At 48.2% G+C, this 18,598-nt stretch overlaps 1 long non-coding RNA gene across 1 annotated transcript in view, besides 1 other annotated feature; it reads right to left on the reverse strand.

Annotated features, from left to right (window-relative positions):
* The window catches only part of LOC105376413 (uncharacterized), a 70,155-nt gene extending 57,762 nt beyond the window's left edge, over positions 1-12,393 (reverse strand). Inside the window, exons 1-2 of the long non-coding RNA XR_007062054.1 lie at positions 11,487-12,393; positions 8,360-8,450 (exon numbers count right to left, since the gene is read on the reverse strand). This is a non-coding gene — a long non-coding RNA (uncharacterized LOC105376413). The remainder of the gene's footprint in view (positions 1-8,359; positions 8,451-11,486) is intronic.
* Positions 17,334-17,793: a transcriptional cis regulatory region, noted in NCBI's record as "candidate enhancer chr10.454 targeted for multiplex CRISPR interference". NCBI's record gives its function as "positively regulates USP6NL gene expression with high confidence in K562 cells {active_cell/tissue: K562}" and the evidence as "EXISTENCE:mutant phenotype evidence [ECO:0000015][PMID:30612741]".

The raw sequence follows: 18,598 nt of genomic DNA on the forward strand, positions 1-18,598 counted from the left end.
CTACCTCCAAATAAAGTCACATTCTGAGGTGCTAGGGGGTTAGGACCTCAATCTATGACTTTAGGTGGGACCCAATTCAGGCCATAACAATGAGTGAAGGTTATTTTCAAGCACAGCCTTTGCTAAAGAAGAGAAGAAACACACATTTATCCTCTAGTGATTCATCTCCCACTCTGGGGTTCATTCTCACCTCGAAGGGCCTGGGCGCAAAGTGGTACTCTGTATTGAGGGCTACCATGTGCCGGCCACTGTTCAGCACTTCGCATATATTTGCTGACATCAGTCTTTCCTCTTCTCTTACATGTCACCTCTCTTCAGCGTGTTTGAGAAAGGGCGATAGGGTATCCCACAGCCATTCCCAAGGTCCCTATCTTACCGCTCCTCCTCACACCAGCTGTTCCTCCTGCTCTGCCAGGGCCACTCTTTGCTTTGCTGTTGACCATGATCCAGGGAAACCCTGGGCTGAAGTCCCCTTAGTACCATATGCCTGCTTTTTTAGAAGGCTTTGCAGAGGGGGAGGTGGAAATAGGGCAGACCACACCTGTCTTTGTGGCCCCATCCATGACTCTGCTCTGTAAAATCATCACCTTGTTAAACAAGTTCTGTCTGTTGGGGTAATTTTGATGGCAAGTAAGAGCAAATCGAACTCAAAGTGGCTTCAATAATAAGAGGAATGTATTGGGTGACATAAATGAAAAGCCTGCAGATGGAGTGGGCTTTAGGCAAGGGTTGATCCAGCTGTTCAGCAATGCCACTAGGAACTCATTTTTTTTTTTTTTTTTGAGACGGAGTCTCGCTCTGTCACTCAGGCTGGAGTACAGTGGCGTGATCTCAGCTCACTGCAAGCTCTGCCTCCCGGGTTCATGCCATTCTCCTGCCTCAGCCTCCCAAGTAGCTGGGACTGCAGGCGCCCACCACCACGCCCAGCTAATTTTTTGTATTTTCAGTAGAGACGGGGTTTCACTGTGTTAGCCAGGATGGTCTCGATCTCCTGACCTCGTGATCCGCCCACCTTGGCCTCCCAAAGTGCTGGGATTACAGGCGTGAGCGACCGAGCTCGGCCATCTTTTTTTTTTTCTAATGTGAAAATGTCTTTAATCTTTACATTTAAAAAAGTATTATTTATTGATGAAAAACTATTTTTTCATCAACTATAAGTTTTTGCTCCTTTTGCTTTTTAAAAAAATTTTTAATTGTATGGGTACATTGTAGGTATATATATTTCTGGAGTACATGAGGTGTTTTTTGGTTTGTTTGCTTGTTTGTTTGAGACAGAGTCTCGCACTGTCGCCCAGGCTGGAGTGCAGAGGCGGATCTCCGCTCACTGCAAGCTCCACCTCCCGGGTTGAAGCCATTCTCCCACCTCAGCCTCCCGAGTAGCTGGGATTACAGGAACCCGCCATCATGCCTGGCTAATTTTTGTATTTTTGTAGAGATGGGGTTTTGCCATGTTGGCCAGGCTGGTCTTAAACTCCTGACCTCAGGTGATCAATCTGCTTGGGTCGGCCTCCCAAAGTGCTGGGACTACAGGGGTGAGCCACGGCGCCAGGCCAACATGAGGCGCTTTTGGTAGGAGGATGCAATGTGTAATAATCACATCATGGAGAGTGGGATAGGAACTCACCTTTCTTTCCATCTCTTGTCCCTGTTTTCCTGGTATCGGTTTCCTTCAAAGGCTCTCTTCCCTCTTTGGTTACAAGATGGCCACTAGCGCCTTGTAGATTAAGCTGGAAGAATAGCCTTTTCCCATCTGAGTCAGAAGTCCTCAGCATGCCTCTGATTCTACCATCTTTGGTCACATGTTCATCTCTAAACCAATCAGTGTGGCTGTGGATAGAGTGGGACCACCCTGATTGGCTCAGAAAAACAATGACCCCTTTCTGGAGCTGGAGGGTGGTGGTAGAATCTCGGCCCCACCCGGAACCGCGTGGTTGCTACAAGATTTGGGCCAGAAAGGCAGCTTGACACAGATGTCGGGGAGCTCAGCTTTGTCATCCACAACACAAGTTACTAGATTTCGCTGGGGAGTGGAGCAAACAAAGCCTAATGACAACACGAAAGGAACATTGTATGTTTGTAAAATATGCCTTGTGCAGTGATCCGGGGGAGGGTCTTTAAGGAATACCGTTGTTGTAGCCAGGTGTATGGCCCCCGCCAAGGAAATTCCACGCCCTAATTTCTGGGACTGTCAATATGCTATGGTGCCCCGAACATGTTACTTTAATGGGGCAAAAGGGACTTTGCAGATGTAATCAGTTGAACTTCAAATAGGGAGATTATCCTGGATTATCTGGGTGGGCCCAATATATTATGTTGTTGTGTTATACTGGCCCACCCAGATAAGGCAGAGGCAGAAGAGGAAATCAGAGAAATTCAAAACGCAAGAAGGCTTGCATGTGCCACTGCTAGCTTGAGAATGGCAGAGTCCACACGAGAAGGAACACAGTGCACAGAATTGAATTCTGCCAAGAATTGCCATGAGCCTAGAAGTAGCTTCTCCCCAGAGCCTTCAGATCAAAGCCCAGCACAGTCAACACCTTGATTTCAGCCTGGGAGACCCTCAGCCACCTATCCAGCCCAGCTGTCTGGACTTCTAACCTACAGAATTATAAATGAGTGTTGTTTGAAGCCACTAAACCTGTGGTAATTTGTTACAGAGCAAGAGGAAATGAACATGTCCCCCTGGGCTGCAGTTCTGGCTTGTTGCCTACTGGCAGGGGCCCTTTCTACAAGAGGATCCACTTCTCACAGATTCCAGCGTATGACCTTTCTCCCTCTCTTGGTAAAATCCTCCCTACTCCACCAACGCACAATGGTCTTCTCCTGGGCTCAGCATCCCCCAAGCTAGTATACTTCCCTCAAATGGGAGTTACTCCATTTTTAATAATACCCCAGGCTCCAGCAAGACATTCCAAGCCAGAACAGTCCAGAGTGGCCGCAGTCACACTTGGTCCTGTCCCCTTTGGGATCTTTCCATGAGTATGGGCCCCAACACACTTCGTTATTCTTACAGTTGTCTCCTACGCTCACTCCAGCCAGGCTCTGCCCTCACCTGCTCTGCACGTCATTTAAACTACAGCCTCTTGGTTGCAGAACCAATGGTCAACTCTCAGTCTTCATCTCACTTGGCCTATCCACAGTGTTTCACCCAATAGATCCTTGAAACACTTTCCTTCTTTCTTTTTTTTTGTCACCCAGGCTGTGGCCCAGGCTGGAGTGCAGTGGCATGATCTCGACTTACTGCAACGTCCGCCTCCCAGGTTCAAGCGATTCTCCTGCCTCAGCCTCCCGAGTAGCTGGGACTACAGGCACATGCCACCATGTCCAGGTAATTTTCATATTTTTAGTAGAGACAGGGTTTCACCATACTGGCCAGGGTGGTCTCCAATTCCTGACCTCAAGTGATCTGCCCTCCTTGGCTTCCCAAAGTGCTGGGATTACAGGCATGATCCACCCTGCCCAGCCTGAAACACTTTCTACAATTGACTCCCAGGCTACTACGCTCCCTGCCTTCACCTTTCTCTCTCTACCCCATCCTTCTGTCCTTGCTAATTTCTCTCCTCCCTGTATCTTAGGTCTGTCCCCAGAGCCTAACGCTTGAGAGTCCTTTTATGCCTAGAACACCATCCACACACAGGTCACTCCCCAAAGAACATCTCCAGCCAGCCAGCCTCTACCCAGGGCTCAGTTGCCACTCCAGCCTGTCCTTGTGGATGGTCAACTTGACATCGCAAGCTTACCACGACCAAGACCAGACTCCTCATCTCCCCACCAATGACACCTACTGTACTCCCAGCCTTACTTTTCTCAGTGAATGTACCCTTCATCCTTCTGGTTGTTCAGGTCCAAAACCTCGGCCTTGAACTTGACTCCTCTCCCCACACCCTGCCTCCAAACGCATCAGCAAATTCTGTGTGTGCTGCCCGCAAGACATAGCAGCACCCTTACCATATGCACCACCACCACCACCTCCGGCTTCTTGCCAACATCCTGTTCCAAGCCTCCATAATCTCTCACTTGGATAGTTACAATAGCCTCTTTTTTTTTTTTTTTTTTTTTTTTGAGTCTTACTCTGTCTCCTAGGCTGGAGTGCAGTGGATCGATCTGCAACCTCTGCCCCCCGGGTTCAAGCAATTCTCCTGCCTCAACTTCTTGAGTAGCTGGGATTACAGGTGCCTGTCACCACGGCTGGCTCATTTTTTTTTAATTTTTAGTAGAGTCAGGGCTTTGCCATGTTGGCAAGGCTGGTCTCGAACTCCTGACCTCAAGTGATCACTCACCTTGGCCTCCCAAAGTGTTATGATTACAGGCATGAGTCACCATACCCAGTCCTCCTTTTTAAATTTATTTTTTTATTGCAGTAAAATAAATAACATAAGATTTACAATTTTAGCCATTTTGAAGTATACGGTTCAGTGGCATTAAGTACATTCACAGTGTTGGGCAAACATCACTCCTATTTCTAGTACTTTCTCATCTTTTCAAACAGAAACTCTGTACCCATTAAACATTAACCTCCCATTCTCCCCTCCCCATGCCCTGGTAAGATGCTTCTGCTTTCTGTCTCCATGGATTGGCCTGTTGTGGGTACATACCTCATATAAATGGAATCGTGCAATAGTTGCCCTTTTGCGTCTGGCTAATTTCCCTTAGCAAAATGTGCAACAGCCTCTTGACTGGTCTCCCTGCTTCCTTCCACCTTTTCCCTCCTAAGTTCATTTTCAAGAAAACTGCCAGAGCAATCCTTTGAAAATGCAGGTCAGAACTTCTCACTGCTCTGCCCACATCTGCCAGTGGCTTCTCATCTCCCTCAGAGTAAAATGCAGTCTACAGTATCAGGAACTCATCTTCTGCTCTGCTGCCCCTGCTCCCTTGTTTTATCCGCAGGGCCTCCTTGCATCACTCAAACACACAGGATGCATGCTCACCTCAGGGCCTTTGCATGGGCAGCGCCCTCTGCCTGGGACTCCCTGTCTTCCTCTAGATGGCGACATGACTTAATCTCACCTGCTACCCTCTGCTCAGTTGGCACCTGGGTGACACCTGCCCCCACCCCACTCCTTATTTCCTTTTCCCACTTAATTTTTTTCTAAGCACTCATCATTTGGAAAGTATATGACATGCTACGTCATGTACTTGTTTTGTTTATTGAGGATCTCCTCTTAAATTCTAGTAAGTCCTCCATAAAGACAGGGATTTTGCCTGACATATTCACTGCTGTATCCCAGAGCCCAGAACTGTGCCTGGCACACAGTAGGCACACAATAAGTATTTGTTGGCTGAGTTACTGAATGTATGGGAAGCTGTTGGTATGAACTTAGGATGAACGGTTCTCTAGCCCTAGCTACACGGTGCCATCACCTAGGAAAATTGTTGTTATGTAGAGATGGAGTCTGGATATGTTACCCAGGTTGGTCTCGAACTCCTGGGCTCAACTGATCCTGCCATCTCAGCCTCCCAAAATGCTGGGATTATAGGCATGAGCCTTCATGTCCAGTCAAGGGAATTTTTTTTTTTAACTGACTTCAGGCCAGGCATGGTGGCTCATGCCTGTAATCTCAACATTTTGGAACGCCAAGGCAGGAGGATTGCTTGAGCCAGGGAGGTCAAGGCTTCAGTGAGCTGTGATCATACCACTGCACTGCAGCCTGTGACAGAGTGTGACCCTGTCTCGAAACAAAACAAAACAAAACCCTGACCTCTAGGACAACAATAACAAATAGAATATCTGGTGGTGAGGTCTGAAGATCAGTATCTTTTTCTTTACATTTCCTAGGTTATTTTAATTTGCAGCTTGCATTGAAAATCAGGGTTTTACCCAAACACATCTCTAATGACAAATATTAATTCTCAGAAGTAATATGTGTAAACCCACAATGAGGAAGTGACATTTTCGTAACAGCCCCCATAATTTACAGTATTGCCTTTCACAGTGGAGCAGGCCACACATTCTGTTTCCTCCCCACTCCATGTCAATCAAGCTCCTATACCTGCTATAAATCAAGAACAGGCCTAGTGACTACTGGAATAGATGCAGCCAGACTAGGATATTCTGCTAAAATGTAGAAGTACTTCTTTGTAAGGGTCAGAGTAACTTGAGAGTCAGTGGTCATCTTCCCTCCAGGCCTCTGTCCAAAAGTGGCATTGAGCAGGGAAGTAGTCTTGTTCTTCTAGTTCCTTAATTTAATTTTTAAAACAACTGTACAAGGTAGCCGATCATCTCAATTTGCTGATGGGAAAAAAAGGCTCAGCAAGATAAACTCACCAGGGTCATACACGAATAAATGTCAGGATTGGAGACACTAACTCAGATTGTTGGACTCCAGAGCTCGTTATATTTTAACCACCATGCCCTTGGCCTCTGGGGCACGGGGCAGCAGATGATATGCGGTTGGGTTCCCGGGAGCCCACGCTGAAACTGGAGGGACCACATGGCCTAATCACTCACCTTCTAGAAGTCTTTTGTTTGCAGACCAGTTCAAGCTCTAACCCAGAGAGATCAGCCAGGAAGAGGATCAAAAGCAAGAGGCGTGCCTGGGCGCAGTGGCTCACACCTGTAATCGCAGCACTTTGGGAGGCTGAGGCAGACTGATCACCTGAAGTCAGGAGTTCGAGACCAGCCTGGGCAACATGGAGAGATCCTGTGTCTACTAACAATACAGATATTAGCCGGGCCTGATGGTGGTGCCTGTAACCCCAGCTACTCGGGAGGCTGAGGCAGGAGATTCACTTGAACCCGGGAGGTGGAGGTTGCAGTGAGCCAAGATTGTGCCACTGAACTCCAGCGCCTGGGTGACAGAGTGAGACTGTGTCTCAAAAAAAAAAAAACAAAAAAAAAAGCAAAAGGCTGTTATGGATTGAACTATGTCTCCCCAAAATTCATACGTTAGAGTCCTAAACCCCAGTACATCAGAATGTGGCTGTATTTGGAGCCAGGGCCTTCACAGAGGGGAGAAAGTTAAAATGGGGCAGTTAGGGTGGGCCCTAATCCAGTCTGACTGGTGTCCTGGTAAGAAGACAAGATTTGGACACACAGAGACACCAGGGGCACACACAGAGGAAAGAGCACGTGAGGACGCAGTGAGGTGGTGACTATCTTCTTCCACTTATTAAACTCACAGGCCACAAGATGAAATAACACGTTATGAAGAAAACAGGGAGTGTTGGCTTCAGATCTTATCTCCGCATGTATTTTCTGGGATAACATTGACTGGGTCACTAAATATTTTGGAAGAGATATAGGAAGAGGCAATGGCTGATGACCGAATATGAGGATGGTGCAAAGGTTATCTGTCCCCAGAGGAGCTTTGCACACAGGCACAGGTGGCCTGTCTAAGGATGATCCTTGTGCAGTGCCATTCATGGTAGCAGAGTTTGGAGTAACCTATGTGTCCGTCAGTAGGGGAATGGGTAAATAAAATGTAGTATGGGCACGCAACGGAATACTATGTAGGTGACAAAAGGAATGAACTAGAATGATCTATAGCAACATGTTTGAAGGCAAAAACCTAATAGCAGCCAGGCGCGGTGGCTCATGCCTATAATCCCAGCCCTTTGGGAGAGAATGTGGGCAGATGACATGAGGTCAGGAGTTCAAGACCAGCCTGGCCAGTATGGTGAAACCCCATCTCTACTAAAAACACAAAAATTAGCCGGGTGTGGTGGCACATGCCTGTAATCCCAGCTACTTGGGAGGCTGAGGCAGCAGAATCACTTTAACCCGGGAGGCGGAGGTTGCAGTGAACTGAGATAGTGCCACTGCATTCCAGCCTGGGTGACAAAGCGAGACTCCGTCTCAAACAAACACCTAATAGCAATGAATATAAAACTAAAATAAGATTTGTTATAGCATAATGCTTTTTTTTTTTTTTTGAGACAAGGTCTTGCTCTCTTGCCCAAGCTAGAGTACAGTGGCACAATCACGGCTCACTGCAGTCTCAACCTCCTGGGCTCAAGTGATCCTCCCACCTCAGCCTCTCAAGTAGCCGGGACCACAGGTGCATGCTATCACGCCCAGCTAGCACAATATCTTCTAAAAAATCTTTTGAAAGCATTCACAAAACAACAAACACTATATATTTACATACGTTAGAGGACAAGTATGGACATGGATTCAAAGCACAATGGGCGATTTTGAGAAGAAAGGGAATGGAATTGAGGATGAGGCATAAAGGGGAAATGAAATATAATAAAACTATAGCTAATGATAAAGGCTAACGCAGACAGTTAACTCTGTGCTGGGCACTTCTCTGGGTTGCGTTCATCAAAAAGTCATGTCATTTTCACTGTGAGGTAGGTAGTATTATTTCCCTGTTTTACAAAGAAGAGAACTAAGGCACAGAGAAGTTGAGTGACTTACAAAAGGCAGCACAGCTAGGAGCTGAGGGTGCTGAACTCTCAGAGCCAGGCAGTCTGGTTCCAGACTCTGCCCTGGGAACCATTACACCATCCTGGGGAGAGAGAAAAAAAAAAAAAAGCATTGATTCAGCAACACATCCATTTTCTACTCTGGAGATGGAGTGGGCAGGTTTCTTTAAAGCAAGAAGGCAGACATCAGGGTAATGCAACTCGAATCTAGGTTTCCACAGCATGCCTGACAGATCCCACTTGCCCACACGGTGACTGCGGAATTCAAAGGCAAGGCTGTCTCTTCATCCTCAGAACAGTCAGACAGCCTCTGATCCCTTTAGGATCGAGTCTCTCCTTGTTCCTCCTTGGTGCACTGAGGTTGCAAGAGTGCATTAAACCTGGGTTTGCCATCTGATGGGAGTGGAGGATAATAATAGTAATTAATATCTATCCCCCACGCTTTCCTTGTTTTTAAGATAGAGTCTCGCTCTGTCGCCCAGGCTGGAGTGCAGTGGTGCGATCTCGGCTCACTGCAACCTCCACCTCCTGGGTTCAAGCGATTCTCCTGCCTCAGCCTCCCGAGTAGCTGGGATTACATGGGCATGCCACCACGCCTGGCTAATTTTTGTATTTTTAGTAGAGATTGTATTTTCACCACGTTGGCCAGGCTAGTCTCCAACTCCTGACCCCAAGTGATCTGCCCGCCTTGGCCTCCCAAAGTGCTGGGAGCCAGTGAGTGGCTTGAGCCACCACTCACCCTATCCCTTCTTAGTACCTGGCACTATGTCACACACCTTTGACAAACATCATTTCATTCAGTCCTTATGGCAGCCCTCTGAGACAGACAAGGAAGTCCCATATTGCAAAGGCAAAAAAGCTCAGCCCTGCAGAGGCCAAGTGATCCATCCAAAGTTAATCAGCCATGAAATGGCAGAGCCAGGCCTCAGACTCCAAAAGCTGACCTGTCCTGCTGCCTGCCTGCCACCCACCGAGCCAGTGACCGACAAGCAGGTTGGCCAGGAGGGTCCCCTGGAGGCCTGCAGATGCCACCAGGATCCCTGCAGGGAAATCTGAGCAGGGACTAAGGAAAAGCTAGGCACAAGAGGACGTCTTTTCTTTGCAGCAGGAGAGTGTAAGCACAACGTTCGTGTTATAGGCCCTTCCACAGGCCATGCGGTGATTTGCAGCATCAAATGGGGGGTTTGGGGGGAACTGCCTTAGAGCAGTTAGGGTGGGTTGTTCCATCACACTTATCCCAGGGTGCTTTTAAAAATCAGAGTCCTGGCCTCCACCCCAGACCTATTAAATCAGAATCTGTGGGAGGGCCACTGGTACCTCTAGTTTTTGTTTTGTTTTGTTTTTCTGAGACAGGGTTCTGCTCTGTTGCCCAGGCTAGAGTGTAGTGGCATCATCTCAGCTCACTGCAGCCTCAGCCTCCACCTCCCGGCTTCAAGTGATTCTCATGCCTCAGTCTCCCGAGTAGCTGGGACTACAGGCGTGTGCCACCACACCCGGCTAATTTTTGTACTTTCAGTAGAGACAGGGTTTCGCCATGTTGCCCAGGCTGGTCTCGAACTCCTGACCTCAAGTGATCTGCCTGCTTCAGCCTCCCAAAGTGTTGGGATTACACACGTAAGCCAACACACCGGGCCTTGTTTGGTTTTTGAGACACAGTCTCTCTCTGTTGCCCACGCTGGAGTTCAGTGGTGCCATCTCGGCTCACTGCAGCCTCAACCTCCTGGGCTCAAGCAATCCTCCCATCCCTCAGCCGCTCGAGTAGCTGGGTCCATGGCTGTGCACCACAACACCTGGCTGATTTTTGTATTTTTTGTAGAGATGGGTCTCGCTATGTTGCCCAGGCTGAACTCAAACTCTTGGGCTCAAGTGATTTCCCCACCTTGGTCTCCAAAGTGCTGGGATTAGAGGCGTGAGCCACTGCACTCGGCCTTGTATCTCTATTTTTGGCAAGCCCCCATGTAAGCCATTGGAACACTGAAGTTTTAAGGTTTTTTTTCTTTTTAAGACGTAGTCTCACCCTGCCGCCCAGCCTGGAGTGCAGTGGTGTGATCTTGGCTCACTGCAACCTCCACCTTCCAGGTTCAAGCAATTCTCTGCCTCATCCTCCCGAGTAGCTGGGATTACATGCACATGCCACAACACCCAGCTAATTTTTGTGTTTTTAGTAGAGACGGGGTTTCACCATCTTGGCCAAGCCGGTCTTGAACTCCTCACCTCATGATCCACCTGCCTCAGCCTCCCAAAGTGCTGTGATTACAGGCGTGAGCCACCGCACCCAGCCAAAGTTGTAAGTCTTACTGGCTGTTACGGATTGAATTGTGTCTTCTCCTCCCCCTAAATCCATATGATGAAGTGCTAACCTCCAGTCCCTCAGAACCTGCGGTTATTTGGGGATAGGGTCTGTAAAGAGATAATCAAGTTAAAATGAGGTCATTAGAGTGGCTTGGATCCAACATGACTGGTGTCCTTATGAAAAAGGGAACATTTGGACACAAAGACACGCACAGAAGGAAGACCATGAGAAGAGACAAAGGGAGAAGACGGCCATTTACAAGCCGAGGAGAGAGGCCTAGAACGGGTCCTCTCCTCCCCGCGCTGCTGACCCCTTGACCTTGGACTTCTGGCCTCCAGAACTGAGAGACAATAAATTTCCATTGTTGAAGCCACTCGGCTTGTGGTATTTTGCTTTACAGCAGCCTGAGCTAAGATACTGGCTCTGCAGAGAGAAGGATCTCGGTGGTCTGTCTGTCTCACTACCATGGGGCTGCAGGGCCAGGGCACCCAGAATCTTCTGAGCTGCAAAGCCCAGATAGGAATTAGGATCCACTTTCCAGCAAACACGGGAAGAAGCAGCTCACACAAAGTTCTTCGAGTGAAGTAATCTGAGAACAGCAGAAAAACCAGCCGGGTTGACACAGTGTCTGTTTTCTGGGGCGGAGAGGAACAAATGGGACAAAAAGGTCTGGCCTGAGGAGCCAAAAAAAAAGTGGGAGAGAGAGAGAAAGATTAAAAGTCAGAAAAAAAGGAGAAAAGATTAAAAGGCAAAAAAAAAAAAGCAGGGGGAGAACCTGGGATCCCGGGAGATGATAGTTTTCATTCATCATTTGTTCGTAACTTACTGGCTGGCTCTAGTGGGTCTTCTTTTCTCTACTTGCAGGAGTTTCAAAAACAAGACCCTTTGTTGGTATCCTGAGTGAGCGTGTTACTTTATAAAATCAGTGCGCCTCTGAAGGGTTCCTGTATTCCAGCACGTGTCCTCTTGGTTCTCCAAGATTCCAGGCTGCTGTCCCCGCTCTGTGCCCCTAGAACGGGGCAGGGGTTGCAGGAAAGTGATGCCAGCCACTTAATGAGCCGCCTTCTGGCCTCTCCAGTGACCTCAAGAGCCCTTTGTCCCCTCCACAGAGGCCTTGAGGCTCCAGGCCCTGGAAGTCCTGCCTTTGAAAGGAGAGAGCAACTGCAGTGTGGGGTGCTGTCTCCAGGTTTCCCGCCGGGCTCAGGGCAGGAGCCCCGAGTCCCCTGCCCTTAGTACATAACCCTTAGTCAATGGCAGCTGGTGAGTAACTGTGTATTGATGGGCGGACCCCGTGAATACATGGCTTCTAACTGGGTCACCTAAGGCTTTAGAATGGCAGCCACACTGCATTTTTCTACCCCACCCTCCACGAGCTGTGTTATTTCCCTTCCAGACTAAAAATTCCCCTGTTTACAATTAGATCTACTTCCCTCTCTCCCTACCCTAAGAAATGGAAGAGCATTCGCATGAAATCCTAGCCTGCCGCAGCTGGAGGGATTCTTAGCTATCTTACTGTTGTCTATCTACCCCTAATTTTATTGATAAGAAAAACAAGGCTCAAAAAATGCAGCTCCATTGTCACCCAGACAATCAGTGACACTCTCAAGTCCCTGCAGAGGTTTTTCTATGACACCAAAGCCAAATTCTAGTCCCCCAACAGTCTGGAGACTTGGAAGGGGTATGAGGAAAGGGTTTCTTGGTTAGATTAATTTTCAAAACAGAGCAGAGACTCCAAGCACTTTCCTTTTCTGGGCCTTTGCATGCACTGTCCCCCTGCCTGAAATCCTCCAAACCCATGCCTCTTTCACTTAGGAAACATCGTTCTCTTCTTCAGATCTGAACTTGAACATCATTTCCCCAGAAAAGCCATTTCTGATTCCCCAGACTTGAGCAGGACCTAATGATGAATGTTCCCTCAACACCCGCTTTCTCTTTTGGAGCACGTGTAATTGCATCATTAGTGGGTACTTAGTCATTTAATGTCCATCTGCTGCTAACTTATAAACTCCAGGCAGGAGCCATGTCTTTCCCATGCTTCTGTTCCCAGCACCCCAAGAGTACCATGCATACAGCCGGCAGTCCATCAATGCATGCTGATTTGATGGCTGAACTTGCATATTAAGGACTGAAAGAAGTTCTGCAAGAGGGCTGTGCTGGTGGCCTACGCCTGTGATCCTGGTGCTTTGGGAAGCTGAGACAGGAGGATGGCTTGAGGCCAGGAGTTCAACACTGCAGTAAGCCATGATTGCACCACTGCAAGACCCTGTCTCAAAAAAAAAATGCAATAAAAAACCTATGTAACTTTGCTTTAATTTCACATATCCCAGACTTACACTTCCCAGACTTACTAATACACTTTTTTGTATTAGTCTGTTCTCATGCTACTAATAAAGACATACCTGAGACTGGGTAATTCATAAAGGAAAGAGGTTTAATGGACTCACAGTTCCACGTTGCTGGGGAGGCCTCATAATCATGGTGGAAGGCAGAGAAGCAGAGGCACATCTTACATGGCAGCAGGCAAGAGAGCATGTGCAGGAGAACTCCCCTTTATAAAACCGGGTGCCAGGCACAGTGGCTCACACCTGTAATCCTAGCACTTTGGGAGGCCAAGGAGGGCAGATCACAAGGTCAAGAGATCGAGACCATCCTGGCCAACATGATGAAACTCCACCTTTACCAAAAATACAAAAATTAGCTGGGTGTGGTGACGTGCGCCTGTAGTCCCAGCTACTTGGGAGGCTGAGGCAGGAGAATCATTTGAACCCAGGAGGTGGAGGTTGCAGTGAGCCGAGATTGTGCCCCTGCACTCCAGCCTGGCAACAGAGCAAGACTCCGTCTCAAAAAAAAAAGAAAAGAAAAACCATCAGATCTCATGAGACTTACTATCAGGAGAACAGCACAGGAAAAACCCACCCCCATGATTCAATTACCTCCCACCAGGCCCCTCCCACAACACATAGGAATTATGGGAGCTACGATTTGAGATTTGGGTGGGGACACAGCCAAATCATATCACTTTTCCTGAGAAACAATGACAGTCTGAGGAGCTAGATCTATTCATATAACAAGGACACGCTTTGGAAAATGCTGTGCTGGACGAGTTGCAGACTGCCAAAAAATAAACAAAAGCAAAACACAAACACTGCTGGCGCTCCCTGTCCCTCATCCCAGAGAGCACTGCACGTGGCTTCTGCACCAGAGTTGGAAACAAATTCGAACCACAGTTCCCATGGCCACCCGAGAAAAGAAAGTGCAGGGCCTTCCTTCCCTGATCTGGATTCTCAGATCACTTAGATCTGCAGAATTTTAGGACTCAACAATCAGGTGGTCACAGAAACAGAGATGTGCAGAATCTCCAATTTCAGAGGCAGCTGCCAGACATGGACATACCAGGGCAGGTCCGGCCCTGTGCGGCCAGTAGGAGGTGCTCCTCCTGATGTGTGCATATGGTCACAACTCATTTTATTTGTTCATTTATTTTTATTTTTTATTTTTTTACAGACAGGATCTAGCCTTACTCTGTCACCCAGGCTGAAATTCAGTGGTGTGATCATAGCTCACTGCAGCCTCAAATTCCTGGGTTCAAGCCGTCCTCCTGCCTCAGCCTCCCTGGGTTCCTGCAGCTCTTCCAAAGAGGGCAGACAGTGAAATTACCATTGATCATGAATTCCTTAAGGCCAGGGCAGGGTCAGGCTCTCAATCAGCATGGAGGAGGAAGGGAGATATTTGAAGTAATCATGAGAGTTTGAGGAAACCAAGGGCCCACAAAGAGACAGTATCGGGGCACCAGACAGTGCCTGAATGATTCGCTTATGCATGGGAGATGAAACAAAGCCAAGGAGTAGGGCTCAGGGTGGGACCAGCCTGCAGCAACATGAAACTGGGAGGAACAAGGCAGAGCAGGGAGGAGAGCCAGAAGGAATACCCATCTCCGGCATCGCCTAGGAAACCAGAACCTGCTGGAGGGCCAGGGGGACCTGGGAAGCACCAGCTGCTTCTTGGCTGGCAGGCGGTTTGTCTGTCCAATATCTTTGCTGGCTCCAGCTGCAGCACCTGGACCAGGGGCAGAGCCTGAAGGAAGCTCATCGAAGACAGCCGTCCAAGAAGTGGAAAGTGGACCAAGGGTGAACACCCCGCACACGGGGAGGGGGCGGAGGAAGACGGCTGGCTGGCTCTGTAAATAAAGGAGCCATCTGTGACCTTTGGAAGCAGAAGACTTGCTGCTGCTGAGCGTGGAAACAGGAAGGACATTGAGGAAGGGCAGAGAGGTGACAAGCATGGCCAATGCCATTCGCTCCGGCTGCAAAGGAAGAAGAGAAAAGGGCAGACGGCAGAGGGACAGCGGGTTCAAGTTCAGATTGTTTTCATATTAGGGAGATGCTCAAGGTTCTCCAGACAAATTGTATGGACCCACCAGGTTTCTTGCAGGTCCTGCTGTATGACCCAAATGTGAGGTGGGATGGAGGAGTCTCACACAATGACCTTACAGTTGATGAGTAACCATTCATAATAATAGCAAAACAATACTTCAGTCATATTTTAAATTGGTGGTTGCCTACAATTGTTATCTCAGTGAAGAGAAAAATTAATGCTAGGAATTGATAACACAGACAGACCTAGGGCCTACCTGGGTATTTCATTCCATTCATTCAACAAATATTTCTTTTTTTCATTTTTTTTTTTAGACAGAGTCTCACTCTGTCATCCAGCTGGAGTGCAGTGGCGCAATCTCGGCTCACGGCAACCTCTGCCTCCCAGGTTCAAGCAATTCTAGTGCTTCAGCCTCCCAAGTAGCTGGGACTACAGGCACCTGCCACCATGCCTGGCTAATTTGTGTATTTTATTTTATTTATTTTATTTTATTTTTTTAGTAGAGATGGGGTTTCACCATGTTGGCCAAGCTGGTCTCTAACTCCTGACCTCAAGTGATCCACCCGCCTCAGCCTCCCAAAGTGCTAGGATTACAGGTGTGAGCCACTGCGTCCAGCCGCATTCACTCAACAAATATTTCCTGTTGAAATATTTTCTAGGAACTATTCTAAGCACTAGGGATACAGCAGTAAACAAATATAGACCAACACTGGTGCCCCCGTGGAGTTTACCTTCCAGTGGATTCCAGCAGGAAACAGCTGTACGTGCCCAGTAGGTATGATGAAAGGATTATCTGCCAAGGTGCGAGTGAGGGGGACCTAGAGAAGGGGTACAGTGGTAACCACTGCCTGGACCACAAGGGAGAAGGCAGGGACTGCTTAGGGACCCCTGGAAGAGGCTCAGAGGAGTGGTGGCCTCCAGCTAAGGGACCCAGCTCACCCAGGGATATCCCCTGCTAGGTGGGAAGCCAGCTGGAGGAATAAGCCCACTGACCTCACACTCCTTGGCCTCACCCGGAAGCCAGGAGGCCAGAGAACCTGTTGCTCGTTTCAGAGATCCTGGTGGAGAAGGCAGAGAGGGGTCTGCGGGGGCAGACACAAGCTGTCTGGCACACGGTACTTTCAATCCATCCTCCATACAGCTTAAATTCTGGGGCCCCTGCAAGTTTAGGAAGTGTGGGGAAGAGAGAGGAGGATGGCTGCATATGGAAGGGAGATGGGAGCTGGGGAGAACAGTCTCACAGACTAGCTCTTTTCTCTCCTACAAACATGATCTTGCAGAAACCCTTGTACCCCAGCCAGAGTTCTCTCCTGACCCACGTTCATAGAAAGAACTCTAGACTAGAAGTCGCAGCATCTGGATTTTAGTCATTTTTTTTTTCAGCTCACTAGCTGTGCTCTTTACTTTTATTGATTGATTGAATCAGGGTCTTGCTATATTGCCCAGGCTGGTCTCAAACTCCTGGGCTCAAGTGATGCTCCCACCTTGGCCTCCCAAAGTGCTGAGATTATAGGTGCGAGCCTCCGTGCCCGACCTGCTCACTGTATTCTTTTGCTTGGGCCGCCATTGCAAATTCTCACACACTGGGAGGCTTAAAACAACCGAAATGTATGGTCTCATGGTTCTAGAGGGCAGAAGTCTGAAATCAAGGCATCGGCAGGGCCACTCTCCCTTCCCGGGCTCCAGGGGAGGATGTTTCCTGGCGCTTCCAGCTTCAGGTGGACTGTGCTAGTCCTTGGCTTATGGTAGCATAACTTACCTGTATAACCACATGCTCTCCTTCCCTGAAACTTTTTCAATGTATCTCAAATCTCCCCCTCCCTTCTGGGTTTTTTTTTTGTTTTTTTTTTTTTGAGATGGAGTTTCGCTCTTTTTTGCCCAGGCTGGAGTGCAATGGCGCGATCTCAGCTCACTGAAACCTCTGCCTGCAGGGTACAAGCAATTCTCCTGCCTCAGCCTCCCGAGTAGCTGGGATTACAGGCGTGCACCACCACACCCAGCTAATTCTGAATTTTTAGTAGAGACAGGGTTTCTCCATGTTGGTCAGGCTGATCTCAAACTCCTGACCTCAGATGATCTGCCCGCCTCAGCCTCCCAAAGTGCTGGGATTACAGGTGTGAGCCACTGTGCCTGGCTTCCCTTTCCCTTCTCTTATGAGGACATCAGTCATACAATTTAGAGTTCACCCCAAATTCAGGAAGATCTCATCTCGAGATCCAGAACTTAATTACATCTGCAAAGACCTATTTCCACATAAGGACACGTTTACGGTACCAGGACTTGGGACTTAGGCCTGTCTTTGGAGGTGGGGACCAACCTTCAAAGCTAGTGTCAATCCATGACGCTAGCTATGGACAATTGCTTATTCCTTTTGAGTCTCAATTTTCTCACCTGTAAAATGCGAAATCTAACTTGAAAGGGCTGCTGTGGAGGTTTAAAAACATTAGGATCGCATGGTACCATGGGGATGAACCTTAGACATCATGCTGTGAAAGAAGCTAGTCACAAAAAAACAAGAACTGTATGATTTCCCTTATCTAAGGTTCCCAGAGTAGTCAAATTCACAGAAACAGAAAGGAGAATGGTGGTTACCAGCGGCTAGGGTAACCACAAGAATGGGGAGTTACCACTTAGTGGGTATAAAGTTTCAGTTTTGCAACTTTTTCGGTTTTTTTGAAAAACTTCTAGAGATTGTTTGCAATGTGAATGTGCTTAACACTACTGAACTGTACACTTAAAAATGGTTAAGCCCGGCGAGGCATGGTGGCTCACGCCTGTAATCCCAGCAATTTGGGAGGCTGAGGCAGGCAGATCACCTGAAGTCAGGAGTTCAAGACCAGCCTGGCCAACATGGTGGATCCCCATTTCTACTAAAAATACAAAAATTAGCTGGGCATGATGGCACGTGCCTGTAATCCCAGCTACCCAGGAGGCTGAGGCAGGAGAATCACTGGAACCTGGGAGGCAGAGGTTACAGTGAGCTGAGATCATGCCACTGCACTCCAGCCTGGGCAACAGAGCAAGACTCTGTCTCAAAATAAATAAATAAATAAATAAATAAATAAATAAATAAATAAATAAATAAAGGTTAAGCTGGCAATGTTTTTTTTTTAAGACAGAATCTTGCTCTGTCGCCCAGGCTGGAGTATGGTGGTGTGGTGCAGTCTCTGCCTCCTGGGTTGCAGCGATCCTCCTACCTCAGCCTCCCAAGTAGCTGGGACTACAGGCGCCCACGACCATGCCCGGCTGATTTTTTGTATTTTTTGTAGAGATGGGGTTTTTCCATGTTGCCGAGGCTGGTCTAGAACTCCTGAGCTCGAGCGATCCTCCTGCCTCGACCTCCGAAAGTGCTGAGATTATAGGTGTGAGCCATCACGCCTGGCCTAAGCTGGCAAATTTCATGTGTTTTTTTTTTTAACCACAATAAAAAAAATCGCATAAGGAACAACAAAAAAAGATGAGGTGATTGAACTGCAAGTGCTTTGTAAACTGGAAGGCACGCTACACATACAAGGTGACTGCCATGTCCCAGACATGGGCCGGGCCTGGTGCCTAGCAAGTACT

The sequence above is a fragment of the Homo sapiens genome, chromosome 10 (genome assembly GCF_000001405.40).
Source record: "Homo sapiens chromosome 10, GRCh38.p14 Primary Assembly".
Classification (NCBI taxonomy): Eukaryota; Metazoa; Chordata; class Mammalia; order Primates; family Hominidae; genus Homo; species Homo sapiens.